We start from the raw sequence: 24768 nt of genomic DNA, 5'->3' as shown, positions 1-24768 counted from the left end.
ATGTTTGAATTCTATAATTTCTTCTTCATTCATTCCAAGAAGTGGAACGTTTTATAAAGAGAAGTTTCTTCATCAGCTGTTTAGTTACCCTGAGTTTGAATCCACATAGGAAAGGGAGATACATGCTTGTCTTTCCCTTTATTTAACATTTTTAAAATAAAGAAATTTCCTACATTTCTCCAATGAGGGATTTTTTTCATTTGATTTTATTTTTAGAATCAGTATAGATGTATGGATTTAAACTTATTTCGTTGTTTTAATGAATTGTACTAATTGTCTTCATAGGCCAAAATAGCAAAGTCAGCACTAAGTCTTAGGACTATCAGAATTCCCACCTAAATCTTTAGCTGAGGCCTGGAAGTTGAGCCTAAGCTATCTGGGCATTATAAAATGGGAGATTGGATAGGGGGAATGAAGGGCATGTGAAAATCCTTTGCTTGCCCCCTATTAATTTGTGTCTTGAAATGTCTATATCATCTCAAAGGATCTAAGAATGGTCTGGCCCACAGATGGGAGGGAGGCAGTTATAAATGTGGAAAATCACAGAACAAGGTTATTGTATTAATTTTCTGTGTTATATGATTTAACCACAAATTTAGTGACTTAAAACAACACTCACTTATTATCTCGGTCTCCATAGATCAGGAGTCTGAGTACGCAGCTGATTCTCATGCTTGGAATCTCAGCAGATTGAAATCAGGTGCTGGCCATGGCTGCACGCCCATCTGAGGCTTGGGGTCCTCTTCCAAGCTCACTGGTGGAACAATTTAGCCCCTTGCTATTATAAGACTGAATCCCACAGCTCCTAGAGGCCACCCACTGTTTCCTGTTATGTGGAATTGCTCAAAACAGGGCAGTTTTTCTCTTCAAGGCCAACAAGAGGGTATCTCTACTCTTTTGAGTCTCTGACCGCTGCACCCTCTTTGAATGGGCTTTCCTGATTCGGGCAGTCTCACCCAGGATAGTCTCCCTTTTAATTAACTTAAAGTTAACCAATTAAGATTTTTAATTATGTCTACAAATATATCCTTTGACATTTTCATATAATGTAGTCTAATCAAGGGAATATTACTTGGAGGAGGACAGATTCCTGGATGACCTTGGCTGACCTAGCTTTCCCACCTCCTGTTGGTAATTCTCAGAATAACTCCGGAATGTACTGAGAATGTAGCACCCTGAGATAAGGAGGAAGGGTGCGGAACAACCCAGGCTATGTCTGCATTCTTCCTAGAACAGAGTGTTCTGCAGCACGTGGGCTCAGTGAGCCAGGTGCTGCCCAGGGTATATAAACCCAGAGCCGTGCTGGGGTTTCTCAGCTGTGATGCGATGCGGGGCATGCGTAGATGAGACTCCATCTGCCCGGAGCAGCTTTCCTGAGCCTTGGAGGATAGCTTCGTCATGGCTCCTAGACTTCCGTTTATCCTTGCTGCCTATCTGTGAGTGACAGGTCTGCTTTGCCTGACTTGTGTGAGCGTTCTATCTCACTGGACTAGACCTAAGAACTTTTACATTATTCTACCGTGTTCACAGGGGAAGGGATTAAACAAGGGCCTCACTGAGGGCCATGGTAGAATTTTTCTGTCTCAGATGTTTGTAGTTTACCGTGAACTCACCATATTGCTGGGTGCAAGGCATAGCCCATCTCTGGGCCTGGATTTCCCTGCTTATACCCTGAATATACTAAACTGAATTATTCCTAAGGCCCTCTCAACACTAACATTCTATGAGTTTACTAATCTGCTTTTCTTACAGTGTTTTTGATAGTTGTTTTTTAGGTTTATATTTTACAGCAGTTTTAGGTTTACAACAAAACCGAGTAAAAAGTACAAAAGGGACCGGGCATGGTGACTCACGTCTGTATTCTCAGCACTTTGGGAGTCCGGGGTGGGTGGATAACCTGAGGTCAGGAGTTTGAGACCAGCCTGGCCAACATGGCAAACCCCGTCTCTACTAAAAATACAAAAAATTAGCCAGGTGTGGTGGCATGTGCCTGTAATCTCAGCTACATGGGAGGCTGAGGCAGGAGACTTGCATGAACCTGGGAGGCGGAGGTTGCAGTGAGTTGAGATCCCGCCATTGTACTCCAGCCTGGGCAACAGAGTAAGACTCTGTCTCAAAAAAAAAAAAAGAAAAAAAGAAAAGAAAAACTACTAAAGGTTCCCATACACCCCCTGTCCCCATTTCCCCGCAGATGCACAGCCTTCCCCACTATCAACACCCGCACCAGAGTGGCACACGTGTCACAATGGGTGAATCTACACTGACACCTCATTGTTAGCCAGGGTCCATAGTTTACATTAGGCTTTTATTCATTTGACTTTATTTTGTTTTATTTTTCTTTCCCAGCTTTATTGAGCTATAATTGACAAAGAAAGATTGTATCCATTTAAAGCTGTATTCACAATTTAATGAATATTGGCCCCAGTGCTTAACACTGACACTTTCCACAAAATAAAAAAGGATAAAGAAGTCCCCAGATCAGTTAACTGCAAAAAGACACACTTGTAAATAATTAAATGAGCTCTACCCCTTTGATGGGTGGTTTTTTACACAGACTGTAAGTCAGTCATTGAGTTTAAAAGGCTTGATGTACTTAAATCTAGCTATACAGAACCCATACATTTGCCTTTCCAAGATAAATACTTATTTTAACAGGGTATGTTGTACATATGTTTTTTTTTTCTTTTTCATTGCACATTTCATTCTAAAAATAAAAACGTGAAAAAAACTTTTTCTTTGTTTTACAGAAATTGAAACATGCTAGAGTGAGTAATTTTTAATAAGAGGAACAGCATAATTAGTAGGAACCCCAGTTGATAAAATACCTGTTTAATTTAAGCAATTGGCAAACTACTTTTAAAATCAGACTAAAGTTAAATACAGTACTTGGAATTATTTTTATGTGCAATTTAGGGCTCTATGTAACAATATAATATATTTAAGCATTTACTATAGAATCCTGGGGAGAAAATTCAAATCTAGTAGCTACTTAACAGGGTGTCACTTCAACTCCCGACGTTTATCCCCTTAAGCTTTTGTCTACTTGAAGCACAAACTACGTGAAAGACACCATGGCATAGTCCAGGAGGGCCAGGGATGATTTGCAGTAGGTTATGCAAATTGGTGTAAGACAATGTGGTCACTTTTTAAAAAAAGGTATTTGTTCATAGCCTTCAATAGTTACAGGTAGAAAACAGCTGTACATCTTTCCCACAGGTTTGTTCCAGGGTGGCATATTAAAATGAATGCAATTTCAGTCTGAATGATGGAGACATCAATGTATATAATAAGTATTTAGAAAAGCAGACACAAAAGCAGACCTACGTTCTGTCCTGTAAACTCATCACAATCCAGTCTCTCCTTCTAGACCAGAGTTTCTCATTTTTGGCACTCGTGACATCAATTGAATAATTCTTTGTTGTGGGGCTGTCCTGTGTATGCAAGAGGTTTAGCACCTCCCCTGACCTCTGCTTGCTAGATGCCAAACTCCCCCACCCCCACACTGTGGCAATCAAAAATATCTCTGGATATTGCCAAACGTCACCTGGGAAAAGTACCTCATGGAGAACCACTGTTGTAGCTGAAGTTCCCAGCCGTCTCTCCATGACTTGGTGCTCATGTTTTCTATGTGCCTTATGGGTTACTCCTATAGCAACTAAACCACAAAGATATGTCTTGTCTTCTTGCTTTTCCCACAAATGTCTTACGTAGACTGGGGGAAGAACCAGTACATAAAGAGTGTTGACTGATTGTTTTAGGTGCTCTTCCTGTGTACTTCTGTTTTGTCTTTCCATGACATAACCCTTCATTCACTTTATCTTTATGTTTTAAATGCTTTGTTCTCCATACTAGACCACGAGCCCCTCTAGAAGTAAGGCAGAGTCGGTCTTGCTCACTGCTATATCCTCAGTATCAGTCCCCGACCATACTAACAACAATAACAGCAATAGTTATCGGGTGTTATGCTATGTGCTAGCCAAAACTGAGTGCTTTGCGTCTGTTAACTCATTTTATGCTCACATCATTCCATGTGCTGAGAATTACTATCAGACCCATTTTATAGAAGAGGAAACAGGTACAGAGGGGTTAAGGGAATTGACCAAGGTCAGAAAGCCAGGAAATGGTACAGGATCAAATTTAGGGAGTCTGATTCTGGAGTCTGTGCTTTTAACTTCTAAGCTATGCTGTAGATAGTGGGAGGTCAATGAATACTTGCAGAATGATTGTGCCAACTATGGAAGAAATGGCAGCAGACGAAGGAAGGCTGGGTGTGGAAATCAACAATTACGCTTTAAAGTAAAGGATCTACATGCATGACTTGGAAACCCAATGACTGTGAAGCAGATGGTGCTGAACGATGATCAGCCCAGGCAGGAGTGTGTGTCTGCCTGTTATAGGAGTGCACACACAGCAATTCAGGGTGCTTAAGCAGATGCCCATTCTGAGCTCTTGTATTGGGATTCAGGGAGCATATACCCTAAGCTAACCCAAAGGCTGTTGATTTCTCAAGCCTTCATATCTTGGCAGTTTCCATCTGTGTAAAATAGAATTTCCAAAAGGGCCCCAGTCCTTATCTCACTCCCTAAGAAAAATACAGCTTAAAATAATGTGATTGTACCTAAGTTGTTTGTTTTTAGTATTTTAGGAGTTCTTTTACAGATCAGTGCATAGCATTCATGTGTACAGTATCCACAACACCTGACGCTAAATCAGGATGAATTTTGAGAGCGCTAAGAACCAATGGGTCCTCAGCATTCTGTTCCCTGAAAGTCTTCACTGACGGAACTTGCCATTTGGACAACATCGATAGTGGATCACGTCTGTCATACGATCCAACATTAATGGATAGCCACTTGGCAAAAGAACCCAGGCAATGACATTGGCTCCAGCCACTACTTGTTGACACTTCCTTTTTTAAATTAATTTTTTAAAAATATGCAAAGTGCACAACATTGTTCCTCCCTTCATTCATGGGATAATTGAATTGCTACTTGCTTGAAATTTGAGGACTTAACAGATTAAGTAGATTAATACAGTCAAGCCAATAAATTAATATGAACTAGCAGATATTTATTCCAAATATAGATCCCAAATGACCTATAATATAGATTTTGATTGAATTCAGCAGTATCATGTTACTTCTAATACTTCTCCACTGAATTTACCTTGAAATCAGTGGAGAATAGAGAAGATAGTTCTGGGGATAACAGAAAGCCACTAGGGGAATGTCTGAAACCACTTTGAACTCTCTTGTTTTATCTTCAGCATACCTAGGAATTTCACTCTATTCCACAAATATATCATGCATTTATAATATCTAAGGTGTTTTAACTCCCACCTCTACCATATATTAAGTTATGTTGTCATTTTTATATGGTTGGAAAACCTCCATATCTACTATTCACACCCCTGGTACATACAGCCCAGTGATTGAGAAGCACAGATCACAGAAATGTGTGGTGAGACTAACAAAAAGACTAAGAAAGCACAGCCTTACCTTTTAAGGTGCTTAAATCTGGTATTGACACTTGCAGCTAATAGATGAATACTTAGTCCTTGAGACATAAGATTTTATATGTGTTATCTCTTTTGTTTAATCTTTACAATAATTCTGTGAGGTTTTTATGATGATGATGATAATTGTTCTTTGGATAAAATTGCCTTAAACTTAAGAATGCTTGGGCAACTTCAAAGTCATAAAGCCAGAAACTGGTAGAACTGGGGTTTGGACCCAGAAATTCTGACTTCAGAGAACACGCCTATGCAGCTCCTCACCTCAAAGTCCAATGAAAATGAGAGAATTCATTTACATATGGGGAAAAACAGCATAAGAACTTGTATTGACTTTCCAAATCTCATTTTAAATATAGAAGAATAATGTCCTCATTGTGAAATACACAAATTTGAAGTATACAGTTTGATGAGTTGGGAAATGTGCATACCTATGAAATTCATGTCATATCAAGATGTAAATCATTGACATCACCACGGATCGTTTTCGCGTCTGACGGGATTCTGCCTGGACAAGCCCTGCATCCCCAATGAGGCAACTGCTGTTCTGATTTCTATCACAATAGATTAGTTTTGCCTGTTCAAAGTCTTTTTATACATAGATCTATACAGTAGGTACTCGATTGTATCTGGCTTCTTTCACTCAGCATAATGTTTCTGAGATTCGTCAATGATGTTTTGTGTGTCCGTGGTTCATTCCTCTTTATTGCTGAATCCATACTCTCCTCCACTTTCATTTCTTAACAAATGAATCTGTCTGTGGGATTTAGGGTACTAAAAGGGGACTTGACAGAAAGGAGTCCACAAGTCTTCAATGTTTGCCATGCTATAGGTGTCTTTTGCTGGCTTGATCTGGCCTATGCCTGCACACATTCCTGTTGGACTCTGCTCTCTCAGCCCAATCATTTGGCCACAGCAGTGGATTGGATGAAAGACTGATTGATGCACAGGCTAAAGATTTGTGATGGTCTGGACCCAAGGAAAGCTAACGACCTCTGAGGTTCCTTCACACTAACTTGCGTCCTATAAGATAATTCTATATTTTATGGTGAACAACTGGATCCATTAAACCTTCACTTTTGGAAAATGTGCATGCAAGGCAAATATAAAATGCCATCAAAAAGCAAGCCAGTGGCGTTGCACTTAGGTCCAGTAAGCTGGGCTATGACTGTGTCCTGCTCTTGACTTCCTTACCCTGCCATTGTTCCCTGCAAGACTAAGGAAGAACAATGGCGAGCAGGATGATCAAGAGGATACCAAAGGGAATTGGGACAGCATGAAAAGGGGTGGGTAGTAACAGAGGTGGGAAGTTGCTTGAGTGTTGAGGGCACAATACTTAAGCTACCTTAATTAAGCTAAAGATCATGCAGTGAAGTAGAGGGCAATGAGCTTGTGCAGGTAAATTGGGTTCAAATTAGAGAATTCTGGAAAGCCAGAGTAAGCTGTTTATATTTAATTTCATAGGCACTGGAGAACCATTTTGAACATAGAACTGTGAGCTGAATAGCCCTTGAGGACAAATAATTTGGCAGAAAGCTCTACCAAGAGGTGGGAAAAAAGCAAGTGCTATATTATAACCTGAGCTATGGCGGCACACAGACCTGAGAAGGAAGGCGTGATTTCATTTCTTGCTGGAAGAATTTCTTTGACTCATTTTCCTGTTGGGGGGTGTGTGTGTGTGTGTGTGTGTGTGTGTGTGTGTGTGTGTGTGTAATGGACCTAAAACTTGCTGCTTTGCAGGTTTTAAGCATAATTAACCTCACTGTGTTCAGACCTTTAAGTTTATTATATTCTAGACCTTAAGCCAAGGCACAAGTAAACCCAATTAGGCTAGTATTAGCTTTGGATTAAATTATATTAACTATTAAAACAACATAACTTATACAGAGTCAGCATGTTTAATTCTCATTGTAGAAAACACTTACATGCTAACTTGATATTAAAACCTGAGAGAAAGCAAATCTGCATAATGCGATAAAATCACTTTTACTTTGAGAGTGAGATTTTTTCAGATAGTGAAATTGTTATAGAAACAAACTGCCAAAGTAATGTCCAGTCAGCAGATGAGAATCAGGAGAAAAAAAGTTTCTCAGTTTGGAGCCAACAGGTGTTGTTAGTATTAAACTGTAATTAAAATAAGAAACTAATTCATGTATACTTTGGTCTCTCTAAGAGTTAGGAGAATGGTATGGGAGAAACTAAAGCTATTAAATAAATACTTCCTATTTAGGATAGTATGTTATAGGAAGAGTGAGTGAAAAGAAAAAAAACCTAGGTATTTTCCACAGGTACTTACTCTTTCTGTTCTACATTTAACTTTTTTTTTCTACATCAACTACTTTATTGATTTTATTTCAATAGTCTTTGTGATACAAGTGGTTTTTGGTTACATGGATGAATTATATAGTGGAGAATTCTAAGTTTTAGTGCACCATTACCTGAGTGGTATACATTGTATCCAATGTGTAATTTTAGTCCTTCACTTCCCCTCCATCTTCCCCCTTCCGAGTCTCCAAAGTCCATTATACCACTCTGTATGCTTTTGCGTATCCATAGCTTAGCTCCCATTTATGTGAAAATGTACATTGCTTGATTTTCCATTTCTGAGTTACTTCACTTACAATAATGGCCTCCTGTTCCATCCAAGTTGCTCCAAAAGACATTTTACTTTGTTTTGAATCTGTCAAATGGTGGGAACATGAGATGTTAGATATTAGACATTATTATCATCAGTATTGTATATGTTTGAGTGTTATCATCATTATTATCAGTATTGTATATGTTTGAGTGTTTCTTTGATGTTCTTTGATGTATGGGTTATAATGAAATATATGATTCATGGTCCAAATATCAATATATATGGAACATCACTAATAATGTAGGATATAGTATAAATATTAACTATCTTCCATAGATAGAAAATACATCTCAAGAAAAAAAAAATGAATTAGATTTCCCTAGCAGAAATGCATAAAAGTGATGAACAAAGACTTTTAGGAAAACAATATCATCGCTCGTGCCCCTAGAATCCATCTCTGATGTATGAGAGTTATTCAAGATCTTTAGGAAGTTTAATTAGTACCTTTTATAGTAGACTATTTTGTTGTTGTTATTAAGAGACAGTGGAGAGTATTCTTTTAATGCTAGGCTGATGTTAGCATGAGTCCCGGCTGCGAGACCTTCAGCACATTGGTTAATCTTTCTGAAAACTGGCTTCCTCATCTGCAAACTAGAAATAATAGTGGTATCATAGAGGTCCTACCTCCTGAGATTTTTGTAATATGTAAATGAGACAGTGAAAAATAAGCAGAGTGTCTAGTATGTAGTAAACATTCAATAAATATCTCCATGAGATTTTGTTAGGTATTAAACTTTGTAGGTGTTAAAGAAGGTTTAGAAAGAGATTTCATCTGCATAGGGTAATGTCCAGTTAGACGGGGCCTCGTATATTTGGGCAGCATTTTGAACTGCAGATTGGGGAATAGTTCTTTACTTTGAAGTTTTAGAAATTTTTTTTCAGGAGAGATCAACTAGAAACTGGAACAAATAATTTGTACTCAAAAAAGACTTGGGAGTATATAGAAAATTGATTTATTCTTCTTTAATGATAAATAGAAGCTCCAGGTGAAATCCTTCCAAGCTTTTATTGGTTAAGCTTACTCATCTACACAATCAGAGTAGTGATGGTGTCTTTCTTCTTGATATGTTTCAGGTAATACATGGTTAATCCTAAGTACCTATTATAGAGTGAGAGCTCAATAAGGAGTAGCATATATCATTAGCTATTGTTGATGTGTACATTCTTTTATATGTAAAAGCGAAATGAGGATTTATTAAGATTTATGAAGAAGACTGCTTATTTTATTTGGAATCTGGGGAAAGAGTATATATTTCTCCATTTATCGAGATAGTTTGTGATACCTATGAAGCTTTTGCACATACAAAAAAACAGCTATATATTATATGCCACCTGTTTGTATACTATATCTATTGTTCTACAACTTGATATTTTCAAAAAATATATAGGGCCACACATTACGCTACTCAACTCATTCTTTTTAACAGTTGTATATTAGAATGGACATGCCTTGATTTTTTCAATGTATTATGACAATTTCAGGCAAAGCACTTACCTAAAATTTTCTTTTTTTAACTTTTAAGTTCAGGGTTACAACTGCAGGTTTGTTATATGGGTAAACTTGGGTCATGGGGGTTTTTTGTACATATTTCATCACCCAGGTATTAAGCCTAGTACCCATTAATTATTTTTTCTGATCTTCTCCCTCCTGCCTCCCTCCACCCTCCTAAAGGGCCCAGTATGTGTTGTTCCCTTCTATTTGTCCATGTGAAATGGGGGAAGACTTCCTGATTCAATAAATGGCTAATATGCAGAAGATTGAAACTGGACCCCTTCTTTACACCATATACAAGATTTAACTCAATATGGATTAAAGATTTAAATGTAAAACCCAAAACTATAAAAGTCCTGGAAGACAACCTAGGCAATACCATTCAGGATATAGGCCTGAGCAAACGTTTTGTAACAAAGATGTCAAAAGCAATTGCAAAAAAAAAATCGACAAATGGGATCTAATTAAACTAAAGAGCTTCTGCATGGCAAAAGAAACTATCAACAGAGTAAATAGACAACCTACAGAATTGGAGAAAATTTTTAAAAACTATGCATTCAAAATTTTCTAATATAGCAAAGTTAAGAGAATTTTATTATGGCCACATATATACCCACCACCTAGATTCTAACATTAAGATTTTGCTATACTTGCTTCTTTATCTATGTAACCTTCATACACTTTCCCCTAAGTAATTTGACCTGCATATTATAATCAAAGTTCAGTAATTATGTACAGCTGGTTTCTTTTGATGTAAAATTTACGTGCAATGAAATGCACAAATCTTAGTTGTGTGTTTGCTGAATTTGGACAAATCCATGTACCTCTTGTGGTAAGCTGAATAGTGGCCCCCAAAGATAGGAGGTCCTAATCCCTGGAAACTGTGAATGTTAAGATGCCAAAGACTTTGCAGACATAATTGATTAGGAATCCTGAGATGGGGATGTTTTCTTGAATTATCTGGGTGGGTCCTAAATGCTATGACAAATGTCCTTATAAGAGAGGGGCAAAGGGAGGTTTGATACACAGCGAAGAGAGAAAGCAATGTGATGATCTCAGGAGAAAGAGGAAGGATGGAGGTAAGAAGGCAGAGGGAAAGAGGGAGAGAAAAAGAGAAAGAGGGAGAAAAACAGGGATAGAGAAAATTTGAATATGCTACCTTACAGGTCTTAAAGATGGAGGAAGGAGCTTGAGCCTAGGTATACAGGCTTGAAGCTGAAAAAGCAAAAAATGCAGCTCAAGATGCTGAAAGAAGCAAGGAAATGGGCTGCTCTCCCCTAGAGCCTCTCAAGGAGGCATTGTTCTAGGACACGTGGTTTCAGCCCATTGGAATTGATTTCAGACTTCTGTTTGAACTTCTTCCACAACTGTTAGAGAATAAATTTATATTATTTTAAGCCAGCAAGTTTGTGGTAATTTTTTACAACAGCCACAGAAAACCAACAAAACTGTATAACCCAAATCCTTATCAAGACATCTTTTTATTAGTCTAGAAAGTTCCTGCCTGCCCCTTCCCAATGTTAACCCCACCCAGAGGTAACCACTCTTCTAAATTTTTGAAAAATCATAGATTAATTTTGCCTCTTCTAGAATTTATATAAATGGAATCACAGAGTTTATACTCTTGTATAAGGCTTCTGTTAATCAGAATGGTGTTTTTGAGATGCATTCACATTATGTGAGTTAATATGTTCCTTGTTATTGCTGAATAATATTTCACTGTATGAATATACTATTCCTTTGTTTGTGAATATCTGAGCTTCTATAAAGCCACTATGAACAAACATTCTTGTTCAAGTCTTCGTGTGGACATATGTTTTAGTTTCTCTAGAGGGAATACTTACGAGTAAAATTTCCTAGTTTGCTGGGTAATAGGGTAATTGCACATTCAGAAATTTTCTTAAAAAGGTTGTATGACCATACATTCCAACAAACGATGTATGAGAGCTCTAGTTGCATCACAATCTTGCTAATATTTGGTGTTGTCAGTCTTTTTCATTTGAGCCATTCTAGTGGGTATGTAGTAGTAGCTCATTGTAGTGAGTGAGTTCTCACAAGATCTGATGGTTTTATATGTCCGACAGTTTCTCCTTCAAACACTTCTCTCTCCTGCTGTCTTGTGAAGAAGGTGCCTGCTTCCCCTTCCACCATGATTGTAAGTCTCCTGAGGCCTCCCCAGCCATGTGGAACTGTGACTCAATTAAATCTCTTCTTTATAAATTACCAGTATCAGGCATTTCTTTATAGCAGTGTGAAAACAGACTAATACACTAGTACTTTCAGGCTTCCCCTACCCCAGCTCTTATGTTATCTGAGAGAAGGTGAGACGTAGCAGGCAATTTCTCAGCTATACTAAAAAAGCTCAGATACACGTTATCTGAAGGTATTTGGGTTGTGTCTATTTTTTTTTTTACAATTAAAAATAATGTCATAATGATATAATGCTTAGTGTACCTTCTGGCATTTTTCTATATAGGAAATATATCAAATATTTATATAAGACAATTTCATGACATGAAAACTTGGGGCCAAATATTGATCAACACTGTAGTAGTCTGTTTGTTTTGTTTTAGGAGCAAATGAGATACTCTTTTAAAACTAGCTTAAATTAAAATACACACACATGCGCGCGCGCGCACACACACACACACACACACACACACACACACATGTATATATACACAAACACCTGCATCCATATACCTGCATCCATTTCACATTGTTAAAATCTTGTGGCTTTTACATCATATATACTGATTCTGGTAATGCAAATTCTTTATCAAGATAATTTTGCTGCTTTTTCTACGTTTACTTTTTCAGATGGACTTAGAATCAACTTCTCAAATTATAAAAAAAAAAATACCATGAGGATTTTATGAGAATTCTATTCAATGTGATGTTGGTGAGATTATTAATCTTAAAAGAATGGATAGATTTATAATACTGAATTTATCTTAGTCTTTCTTTAGTAAAGCTTTATAGTTTTTTCTTATGGTCTTAAACTTTTTTAAAAAAAGTTTATTCTTAGGTAATTTGTAGTTTTTATTGCTATGCAAATGGAATCTTCTCCATAATAAAATTTAACTGGTTTAAATGACTATATAGGAAAGAAACTGACTTTTAATGTTATTAATCCTAGTCAAAAAATATAAAACAACAAAAATACCAAACCACAGAATGACATTAAGTAGCATCTAAGTATATTATAGTGAATGTTATTTAATCCATATAAAATAAAATTTGTTCAACATAATTATTTCTCCTTCCACGCATTATCAATAAGAGAAGCAAGGCTTAGCAAGATTATCAAATGCCCACAGTCACACTGTGTGTAGACCATGTTTTAATTACTAGTTTATTTTTCTCTTATTTAGGACACAAAGATCATTTCTAAGAAACTCTTCCATATCCAACAATTAGCGTCTGTTAACATATGTTCTGACAAACTGGTAGTTTATTCTTAGTAGATGGTTAATCCCATCAATTTTATAGGATTTCATTTTTTTCACTTCTGAGGAGAAGTCATTACTATTGTCTTGGGGTGTAGGCAGGAGCCAGCACCTTCCCCGAACCCTGATCTCTTCATCACCTCTCTTCATTACAGGCAAAGTTTGGACCACTAGACACTAATTTTGCTACAATTTTGAAATTCTCTTACTTAAAAAATATCTCTTTCCTAAACCCATAATCCCTACAGGAAGTGTTGGTTTTATTCAAAGTAAAAAAAAAAAATGTTTCTGTGCAGAAATACATCAACAACTTGTCGAAGTTTATGGAAGAGAAAATGTTAAGTCAGTGAAGTGTATGTAATACTGTGTAGAATTTTAAAGAAAGCAAAGCAGAGTACCCAGAAAACATTTCATCTGTAGAAAGGATGGATTTTCAGAGGTGCTCTGTCTGAGCCCAAATATTGTATTTCAAATAGAGTCACTGGACCTATTTGAACCATTTGATATTTTCTTGAATTCAGCTGAGGATTAAAAGAGGCTTTTATGCTGTAGAGTATTTCCTATGTGTGTTTCTAGGACTACCTGAGTCAGAATCTTCCAGAGTGATCGTTCAAAGTGAAGACTCCTAGGCTCCATCCCAGATCCTGGATTTAGGACTGCTGGGAAATGATTTCCATGATAAAGTTTAAAACACACTACTTTAGAATTGTTACCTCATCATATACCAGCAAGCGATGGTGGCATTCAGTTGCCACTTCTCTGAATGATATTTAATTCAATACCTTTTTTTTTTTTTTCTGAAAAACATCCCACCTCTTGGCCAACTTTATACAAAACTGTAAAGCATAGGTTAAGGTACACAATTCCAGGATTAGAACAATTCTACAACCTGATAAACAGACTGCATGGCTTTAACCTGCCTTATAGCAATAGTGAAAAAACTCATATCTTCCTTTTGCTAGGATAAGTGCAAATACCATTTTAGTGGAGGATTCTACAGTCTCTCTGAATTGCCTGGAGCAAGAGGACTTTGTTCACATGGCCTCAATGACAATTCTGAGATGAATAATTATGGACAAAAAATACCTTTTCTGGTCTTAAAGAAAGACTTTGATAATTTGGAAGAAAGGGTTTGAGAATGAGCGATTTAGTAATAACTGCCTAAAGGTGAGAAAGCGTTCTTATTTATCAACACAGCCACTCTAACAAACTACCAAAATGGCCGGCCATTCCCGTCACCCATGCAGTTTTCCAGAAGGGGCTCTAATTGGCTTTGATTTAGTTATTTAATGGGTGCTAATTTAAATCTTGTTGTTATTCAGAGTGGTTCATTTCTCTCCCTATTCATGGCCACCTTCCTATTCAAGCTATCAGAACCTCTCACCTGACTAGCTGGTCGCTAACACCCAACTAGTCTCCTTGATGTTCAGTCTTCCACCTGCTCTGAAACCATTTTCCAAACTGCAGCCAAAGTGATCTTTGCAAAAGGCAGTCTTCGGAAACCCTCATGACTTTCTATTGCTTTTGAGAGGAAGACCAAAATCGTTAATTTGACCTATAAATCATTGCTTCGTCTGGCAACTGCCAGTGGTCCGGCTTTAGTTTTCAGTATGCACACGTGGTCGCCCACCGTGGCCCCTTCTTTTGCTCCTCCACCTAGTCAACTTGTAGTCATCCCTAAGGTTCTTGACTAAAAATCACTTTCTCAGGGAAGCCTGAAGCAGAGGTCAAACTCTTATTGTGTGCTGTCAAAGTGACAAATTGTTTCTTTGCAGAGCCTTAGATCAGCTTGTATTTAAATATTTATCCATGTGATAATTTCTGGCTAGGCAAGGTGGCTCATGCCTGTAATCCCAGCACTTTGGGAGGCCAAGGTAGGTGGTGGATCACCTGAGGTTGTGAGTTTGAGGCCAGCCTGCCCAACAAGGTGAAATCCCATCTCTACTAAAAATATAAAAATTAGCATGGCATGGTGGTGTGTACCTGTAATCCCAGCTACTCGGGAGACCGAGGCAAGAGAATCACTTGAACCCAGGAAATGGAGGCTGCAGTGAGTAAAGATCACACCATTGCTCTCCAGCCTGGGTGACAAGAGCGAGATTGTGTCTCAAAATAAATAAATACATAAGTAAATATTTATCCATGTGATAATTTTTATTGATAGCTGTCTTTTGCACTATATTATAAATCAGCATCATTTTAAAAAATACTATATCCTAGCACCTAGCTAATTTCCTCAATGCATGTTGGTTAAATGAATAAATGAATCTGCTACCCATATAAAAATATCTTATTTTTCTCCCAAAGATCTCATTCTTAGGAAAAAAAAAAGTTTGTCAGTTGAATTTTAATTTATCTGCAATTTTTAGATTACTTTTCATCAAAGAAAATATTTATCATATCTTCTTGCAAAGATAAAAAGTGAATGCAGAAAATGTCACCTCCACAGTGCTGACCTCATCCCTTGTTTTCTTCCTTTAGTGACTGAAAAAGTAATGGCATTTCTAATTTTGAGGGTTTGGTATATATCTTTTGTGATCTAAAAATTCAGAAAACTTAGTTGACTCCTAATGCTTTCATGCTCACACTTGTTCTTTTCTTTTGAGCCAAAGCTCTCCAGTTCCATTACCTAATGGGAGTACACATTGCAAGCTAATATTGAATAAATATTTTACAGAGCTACTTGCAATCACCAGCACGTTTCTGATATGCAGTTAAGTTCCACACGTGGCCAGAATACAAATCCTGAGAAGGGCTTTCTGGTAACGCAGATCTCTGACCGTCAGGGACAATCCAAGATGTTTCATCCTCTGCCTGCCTCTGGACCTACAGAACACAGAGGCAAAGAAAAGCTGTTGTATGGCCCTTGGCATATCTGTTAGCCAAGGCCACAAACAGCCTGGCCTGGGGGGTTTTGGTGGAATAAAGCATACTCAAAAATTGAGAGCCGCTCTTACAAGTAGATATTTCTGCTCTGTCTGTCAATGGAACACAGGATTAAACAAGAGAGAGAGTGCCAAAAGCACAGGTCTCATACGGACTGAAGATCTGGGTGCAGATCCTGAATTTGCAAATTAATTAAACGCACTGAAATGCATTATTTTCATCTTCCACATAGAATTGGGATTTTATTGCTTAAGTTTTTTTTTTTTTCCTTTTCAATTTCCTTCTTTCCTTTCTTATCTAAGAAAAATTGCACTGGATAGAGTTAAGCAGGTAAGGAAGACCATTCAAGACCATTGCAATAGAGGTCAAGACTATTGCAGTAGGAAAGAGATTGAACTCAATTCCACTGAAACAAAAGGTGGGCAAGTTGTTAAGTGCTGGAGTGTGAGGGATGGGGGCTGGTCAATGTGATTAGGCCACTTGCATTTGCTAATGAGCACTTTTCTAGATTAAGGCCCCTTGTCTCCTCCTCACCCACAACCCTGCAAAGACTGGGAGGTAGGGACCCTATCATTTTTGAGAATGACATTTCAAAGCGATGCCTCCCAAGTCCTTGAGAAAGTTTTCTAAAGTAAATGCTCTAAGATAAAGGAGGTGTGAGGGCTATAGTCAGAAAGAAACCTCTCTAAAATTTGGTCCAGCTGAGTGGAACATTGAAAGAACATCCTAGTCTCCCTCCCTCCATGCGACCCCATTTTTAAAAATCTTAATTGTGTTTCTTATATTAGAATTAGACTTTGTGAAAAAGCAATTTTTAAAAATGTAAAATAATTTTTGTGCAGCTATAGAAAGAAATACATGTTTAAAATTTTTCTGAGCTCATTAATTAAATGAGAAAGCCAGAAAGATTTTATAGCTGGCTCAAATGAAAATGGAAATAAGAGACATTTATACATCAGAAATATTGGAATGAGGATGCAAATGGAGGCAACACTAGCTTTTTCCATATCAAGGGAGGGACATTCATATAGTTTGGATGGTTGTGTTATAGGAAAGGGGTCCTGATCCAGACCCCAAAAGAGGGTCCTAAGAGAGGGTTATTGGATCTCACTCAAGAAAGAATTCAGGGCGATTCGTAAAGTGAAAGCAAGTTTATTAGCAAAGTCAAGGAATATGAGAATGTCTACTCCATAGACATAAAAGTGGGACTCTATGCCCACTTTTATGGTTATTTCTTGATGGTATGGTAAACAAGGGTGGGTTATTCATGCCTCCCCTTTTTAGACCATATAGGGTAACTTCCTGACGTTGCCATGGCATTTGTAAACTGTCATGGTGCTTGTGGGAGTGTAGCAGTGAGGACGACCAGAGGTCACTCTTACTGCCATCTTGGTTTTGGCAGGCTTCTTTACTGCAATCTGTTTTATCAGCAAGGTCTTTATGACTTGTATCTTGTGCCAACCCCCTGCCTCATCCTGTTACTTAGAATGCCCTAACCATCTGGGAATGCAGCCCAATAGGTCTCAGCCTTATTTTGCCCAGCTCCTATTCAAGATAGAGTTGCTCTGGTTCACATGCCTTTGACAATTGTCCTCTCCAAATCCCACATTGAAATGTGTCCCCGTATGTTATAGGTGGGGCCTAGTGGGAAGGGTTTAGGTCATGGGGGCAAATTCCACAAGAATGGCTTGGTGCCTTCCTCACGGTAATGAATGAATTCTCACTGTTAGTTACGTGAGAGCCGGTTGTAAAAAGGGTGTCACACCCCTCCCATTCTCTTTTGCTCCCTCTCTCACCATGTAACATGTTCCCGTTCACCTTCTGCCATGATTGTAAGGTTCCTGAGGCCTCACTAGAATCAGATGCCAGCACTATGCTTTTTGTGCATTCTGCACAACCATGAACCAAATGATTATCTTTTCTTTATAAATTACCCAGTTTCAAATATTCCTTTATACCAATGCAAAATAGACTAATACAGAGATCAGTTGGGTCTGTACTGGACGGGATTTGCATGCCATACATAAGAATTATTTTGGACTGCTAGAAGTTATCTCCAATTTACAGAGTTGTAAATAGCTCCCCTAGAATCAGAGTTAGGTAGCCCTGACTGGTTTGTTGTAGGCAGAGCATCATTTTCCACTGAAGCACAAATTTTTTTTATAGGACTTCACTACAATCAAATATTATTTCTCTAGTTCCTTGTTAACCTTTCTTTCATACATGTATATTGATTACCCTTTGTGGGTCAGACATACTGGAAGTTAAAGGAAATAAAAAATATTTTACCCCAAAATATATTTCTTTGACATATTTTGAAATGGCTGTTGCAGAGGCAGCAGAGAGGGGAGAGAAATTTGCATTTGTAGAGATCTCCATTAATGCAGCCAGGCCTTCTCTTTCTAGGCCTTTCCAGGGTCTAGGAGACAGAAACTGAGAGTCTGACATCTGTAAAAGTCTGAAAAGAAGCATTTACTGTCTATTCTTTCTGAGGGCTGCTACCTATGAGGCTTTATCTACATAACAAGACCACCTTTGCTGGCCAAGCCCCCTCCTTTCTCCCTCCCATATCCTGGTTTGCCACTAAAACCTGATTTACCAAAATAATCTGGTTTTGGCCATGTGCTCAGCCTGCATTTTTTTCTGTAACCTCATGATGATATATACTTTTCTGTTCCTTGTTGTGGGGGTTGAGTCTTCATTCTATAGGTTCTGTGTACACACATTAAATACATTTGTGTGCCTTTTCTCTTATTTGTCTGCCTCATGTCAGTGACGTTTCAGCAGCTCTTGAAGGAGGTAAAGGCCTTGGTTCCCACGGAAGGTATAGACTCAGAGGAGACAGGTCTTCTGCCCGTGGGGTGCTCAGCTCTGTTCAGCTGTGCTCACTAATAACTCTGCTCCACGGAAGCCTGTGATGCTTGCTATGGGGACCTGATGGAACCTAATGAAGAGCTCTGGGTCTGCCTGAAGTGATTTCTTACCCTTGGAATTAACCAGGAGGGCTTCCCAAAGGAGGAGGTGGCACCTTGTTAACATCTGGCTCCTCACATATCACCAGGACAACTTATTGATAGGACAAAGCTGAGTTTCTCGCTTGCCCTGGTAAGGAAGACCATCATCTCCCAAACTTTGGAACTGTCTCAGAGAGGAAAAAGTAAGGTCAGAATTTGTTGAGAACTGGAAATTTTAAGAAAGTTTTTTTTTTGTTTTGTTTTGTTTGTTTTTTTAAGAAAGAGGGTCTTGATTAGAATTGGATAAGGATTACCAGAATTAGTGGAAATAGCAATTTTGGGGTGATGGCTTCAAAGAATCTTAGGGTTAAACTGTGTATGGATGTTTTCCATTAAAGAGTTGATAGATCTTTTGGGAGGTTCTTGTAATGAACATTCAAACAGTTTGCCTGGGAAGGGGACCTGTTTTCAGCTCTTAGCGTCCAGGCTGAGTGTGGGGATAGGTGAATCAATTTCTCAACCTTGACTGAGACTTGAAGGATGACCAAGCTCTCTCATGCTGGAATAGAAGAAGCTCATTCCTTGCAGAAGGCTAAGAAAGAGAAAGCATGAGCATATTAAGAAAGTGGTAAATAGGTCCCCTGTTAGGACTTAGAATGCCCAGTGAATTCTAATTCTGTCTATGTGTGGCCTAGGAATAGAGTTTTTATGCTGAATGGCCTATAATGGCTCTCTCTAGGCTAGTGTTGCCAGATAAAATTGCATGGCACATACTTAAACTAAAAAATTAATTGTTCATCTGAAATTCGAGCTTAGCTTGGCATCTTGTGTTTTCATTTGCTAAATCTTGCAGCTCTGTTTCAGCCCTATAGGCTGTCTTGCAATGAGTTATCCAGGACTGGGGGCCCTCTCCCTCAACCTCCTGGTTTCCAGATTCTATTAGTGCCATGCAGTTCCTCTGAACAGCTAGTGTCCAGGCTCAGATGACAAGGCTGCCCCACTGTGTCCCCTCAGTGTCCTCTCCCTGTCAACTTCTCTCGCCATTTCTGACTCAACACTCTGCGACTTTGCCTCTGGTTCCTCTCCCACCTCCCCATTGCTCACCCTCCTTCTTACAATATTACAAGGCTGATTGCCCAAGATTCCAACTACAGGGAGAGTAGTGAAAAGAGTCTACCCCTCCAAACCCAGGCCAATCATGCCTCTCTATGTGTTGCTTAGGACTTCCTGCTGATCCAGCACTTGGCCCTTCCAGCCTGCACTGTGTTGCATCTGTGTTGTGTGCCTGAGCCCTGCACTTGATACCCTGCCTTGGAGACTGTGGTGACAGAAAAATAACCTCCCCCATCCCCAACAAATTCATGTCCTAATCCTCAGAACCTATAACTATCACCTTATATAGCACAAAATTGCTTTGCAGATGTGATTAAGTTAATGATTTTGAGATGGGGAGATCATGCTGGATTATCCAAGCGGGCTTGATGTAACCATAGGAGTCTATAAGAGGAAGACAAGAGAAGTCAGAATCAGAGAGAAAGTGATGTAACAAAGCAAGAAAATATTGGAGTCATGTGCTTTCAAGATGAAGGAAGGGGCCACCTGTCAAGGAATGCTGGCAGCTTCTAGAAGCTGGGAAAGGCAGGGACATGTATTCTTCCCTGGAGCCTCCAGAAGAAACCAACCTTATTGACACCTTGATCTTAGTCCAGTTACAGGGAATTAGGATTGCTGGCCATCAGAATGTATGAGAATAAATTTGTGTTGTTTTAAGCCACCAAGTTTTTGGTAATTTGTTACACCAGCAAGAGAAAACTCACAGTGACCAAGAGGTTCAGAATGAGAAAACTGAAGATTTGCAATGGGGGCAGGGCTATCAACTGGTGAACCACAATGTTTATACATTTGGAAAGGAGAGCTTTATTTTTTTAATATATTTTAGATTTTATTAGATAATGTCCATTATTTTTCAAAAATATTGTAACAATTTCCCCTCCAAAGCCTGCTGTTACAGGAAAGGGGTCCTGATCCAGACCCCAAGAAAGGGTTCTTGGATCTCACGCAAGAAATAATTCAGGGCGAGTTCTCAGTGCAAAGTGAAAGCAATTTTATTAAGAAAGTAAAATGGTGAAAGGACAGCTACTCCATAGACAGAGTAGGATGTTCCTGAAAGTAAGAGAAGGAACGCATCCACCCTAGGTACAATGCTTGATTATATGGGCAGGTGTGTTCTGGTACAATGGTTTGTGGTATTAATTTTTGTGGTAAGGATTAATTTTCTTATTATATTTTGCAAGAATCGATATTATTATCTTTAAAGCAAAATTAGGAATGCCTTTGTTCTCCAGATAGTGGGATATCTGGACACTCCCAAGTCTGGGTCTGTTTAGTAAACATTATTAATTTGTTCCTTAACCATAAACATCTAGGGGCTCTGAATGTCTGACTTTCTGGGAAAGCAGCCCAGCAGGTTTCAGCCTCATTTTCCAGCCCTCACTCAAGATGGAGTCGCTCTGGTTCCAATGCCTCTGACACTGCCTTTTTTAAATTGAATTTTTAAATTTTATTTTAAGCTCTCGGATACATGAGCAGGACACGCAGGTTTGTTACATAGGAAAACATGTGCCATGGTGGTTTGCTGCACCCATCAACACATCACTGAGGTGTTAAGCCCCACATGCATTAGCTATTTATCCTGATGCTATTCGTCTCCTTTTCATTTTTTATAAAGGGTTGCAGCCTGCAGCCTGGCCATCCTGCAGGCTGGGAAGCACAGCCCCTGGCAAAAACCAGACGCGAGCACTTCAGAGAAGGAAGGATGAGACAGGAATTGAAGCTGAACAGGTAGGCTAAGTATACGTTATCAACAGGTAACAGGAGGAACTATAAACAGTCACAAAGGAGGGTGCACACGTGTGTAATAAGCAAATGTGTGTTGCATATGTCCCGTGTTCACTTTGGGGTGGAGGCTTAACATTTAAATGCATTCCAGTTTGGCTTGATACATGAAAAGGTGATATGAAGGACACAGAGGCATCTCATGCACAGTCTCTGTAGACTAGCCAGAGCCAGTCCCTTTCTCTTATCAAGAAGAAATGCCGGTCAGTTGTTTTGTCAAAACCACAAGAAGGGAGGGGAGTATGGCACATCTTTCAAAAGGGCTGGTTTCTGTTTAGCCCTTAGGAAAGCAAGTCGAATGGCAGTTAGTGAGGGAGGAGCTATAATGAGGCTTGCCTGACTTTCTGACCAGTCATAGCCAGGAACTCAGTTGTGAAGACTTCTCTTGGGGCCGGGCGCGGTGGCTTATGCCTGTAATCCCAGCACTTTGAGAGGCCGAGGCAGGAGGATCACGAGGTCAGGAGATGGAGACCATCCTGGCTAACACGGTGAAACTCTGTCTCTACTAAAGATACAAAAAAATTAGCTGGGCGTGGTGGCGGGCGCCTGTAGTCCCAGCTACTCAGGAGGCTGAGGCAGGAGAATGGCGTGAACCCGGGAGGCGGAGCTTGCAGTGAGCTGAGATTGCACCACTGCACTCCAGCCTGGGCGACAGAGCAAGATACTGTCTCAAAAAAAAAAAAAAAAAAAAATGACTTCTCTTGGTTCCCCTTGACCAAGAGGGGGTCCATTCAGTCCACTTGGGGAGCTTAGGATTTGATTTTTAATTCTCAGGCGGTGAAAAGCCACGGGGCTCAGGCTGACATGTGAGCAAATACTTATGAGAACTGTGAACAGACTTCAAGGGAGTGTGACCTGTGCAGTCCCACAGACCCTATACTCAGAAGGACCTTGCACTTGGTTTAATGCTTCTATTGACATCTTAATAAATTTGAATGAGGGACCCCACAATTTTTCTTTTTGCCCTGAGCCCTGCGAATGTTGTAGCTGATCTTAACTATGATCAGGTGTTTTATTTGTGATATGGTTGAAGTGTTATAAGATTACAGATATGAGGTCCATGGAATTTTACTGGGGAGGAAAGGGTAACAGAGAGGGTCAGGTTAATCTAAGCTCAGATTTGCAGAGTAAAAGTTCAGAAGGCAGAGAAAGGAGTCGCATGGTGGAGGGCACAGCATGAATCGAGAATAGAAGACACAAAAATCACCTGTTATGCTTGGAAATGATAGGTCTTTTGTATAACTTCTGTGTTCTGTGGGGAGTGCTATGTCACAGGATAGAGTGAGCCAGATGCCAAAGGACTTTGAAAGCATCGAAGTAACTGGTTTGGAACCTACTCTTCAGGCAACGGGGTACCGTGGATGTCATTTGAGAAGAGAGGTGACAGGCTTGGCCACAAATTTTGGGCAGTCACTCAAAATTGGTTGAATTGGGATTTTGAAGGGTAATATTTTAGCTCAAGCATGGCAGATGGATGCCTATGCAAATTCTGTTCGGTTCTGTCATTTTTATGCAAAATGAACACAAATGGTCTTCGCAATTACTCTCCGGGGAAATTGTTAATGTAGACCACCAAGGGAGGAATCCATAGATTTGTTGAGAGCTGGTGTTCAGAGTGTAAAGTCTAAGAATTAGCCTCAAGGACTGGAAAGGAGAATCCAGAACTAAATAGAATCTGCATCTCAAGTTAAAAGCTGTATTGTACAGTGCCACAGTCACGCATAGACTGTATGTGATGGGAAAAAGGAAAGAATAAATGGAGGTGACGAGATATTTTATTGAACTATTAGCTTGTGTTGTTCCTTTATTTTCCTCTCTCTGCTGTTTCAAGCAGCTAACCAGGTGTTAGAGGATAATTTTCAAGAAAAAAAAAAAAAAGGATCATGGCTTTCATACAGATACAAATGAACAACTGCCAAAGATTTTACTTATTAATAAGTGAACTGTAACAACTGCTTCAAAGGAGAATTCAAGTACAATGCTTCTATAGATTAAAGATGCTGGCATAAATTGACAAATAGGTACAAACTGAATTTTTCTACACCGGGGAGAGAAATAATTTTGCCTTCTCTGGAGAGACTTTGCATGTGTATAGACATGAAATATTTTTGCTATAACCAGTTTTCTACAAGTTAACTTGTGTCTCTACAGAGTTGTAAAATGGCCTAAACAAATGTGCATACCCCTATAGGATAATTAAATCCGTGAAGAGGCTCCCACATCCATGAAAGGGTGTCTGCTAATCTCCTTTGTGTCTCTTTGCGCCTAGGGACGTTTGTTTCACAGGCTCAAAGCCATAGCCAGCTGCCATGTTATTATTTTCTTCCATGTATGAAGAAATTAACCCTTGGAAGGAGTTCTAATTGGAGTCAGGGAGAAGTAGGGAAGGGTAAGGAGGAATTCTGTGAGGCAGCCAGGAAAGCATGGACCCTTTAAACTCTGGTAGCAGAATCCTGTGCAAGTGTCAAGGCCTCTGAGGAGATGGCCTTCCCCAGGAATGGCTCAGGAGTAGCCTAGTCCCTGTACCTGGAAGGCTCAGGCATACAAAGAAGTAGATGTGGCAGCCATAGCCTGCATGGACTAATGGCCAGAATGACCATGAAATTTATCATCTAGACTAAGACACATTTAAGATGAAAGGAGGCACTAGGCCAGGGCAACAGCACAAACTGGGACAATGCCAGGCAAACTGGGACATAGTGTTTATGTTACCAGTAGAGGGTGTCCAGGTCCTTGGGGTCTTGAAAAAAGAATTAGACAAAAAGCACAAAGAAAGAAAGGAATGAAGAGATTTATTGAAAATGAAAGTACACTCCACAGTTTGCGAGCGGGCTGGAGCATAGGAGCTCAAGGGCCCTGTTAGAGAGTTTTGGGGAGTTTAAATACCCTTTAGAGGATTCCATTGGTTACTTGGTATACGCCCTATGTAAATGAAGAGGATGA

The 24768-nt window shown here is 39.2% G+C and overlaps 1 long non-coding RNA gene across 2 annotated transcripts in view; it reads left to right on the top strand.

The window, feature by feature from the left end:
* The first annotated feature begins 1314 nt into the window (after positions 1–1314).
* Positions 1315–24768, top strand: part of LOC107984001 (uncharacterized) — an 80255-nt gene continuing 56801 nt past the window's right edge. For both annotated transcript variants that reach the window (XR_007067757.1, XR_936884.3), the window contains exons 1-2: positions 1315–1436; positions 21659–21771. This is a non-coding gene — a long non-coding RNA (uncharacterized LOC107984001). The remainder of the gene's footprint in view (positions 1437–21658; positions 21772–24768) is intronic.

The sequence above is a fragment of the Homo sapiens genome, chromosome 20, assembly GCF_000001405.40.
Source record: "Homo sapiens chromosome 20, GRCh38.p14 Primary Assembly".
Lineage (NCBI taxonomy): Eukaryota > Metazoa > Chordata > Mammalia > Primates > Hominidae > Homo > Homo sapiens.
This window is presented reverse-complemented; position numbering and strand designations above follow the sequence as displayed.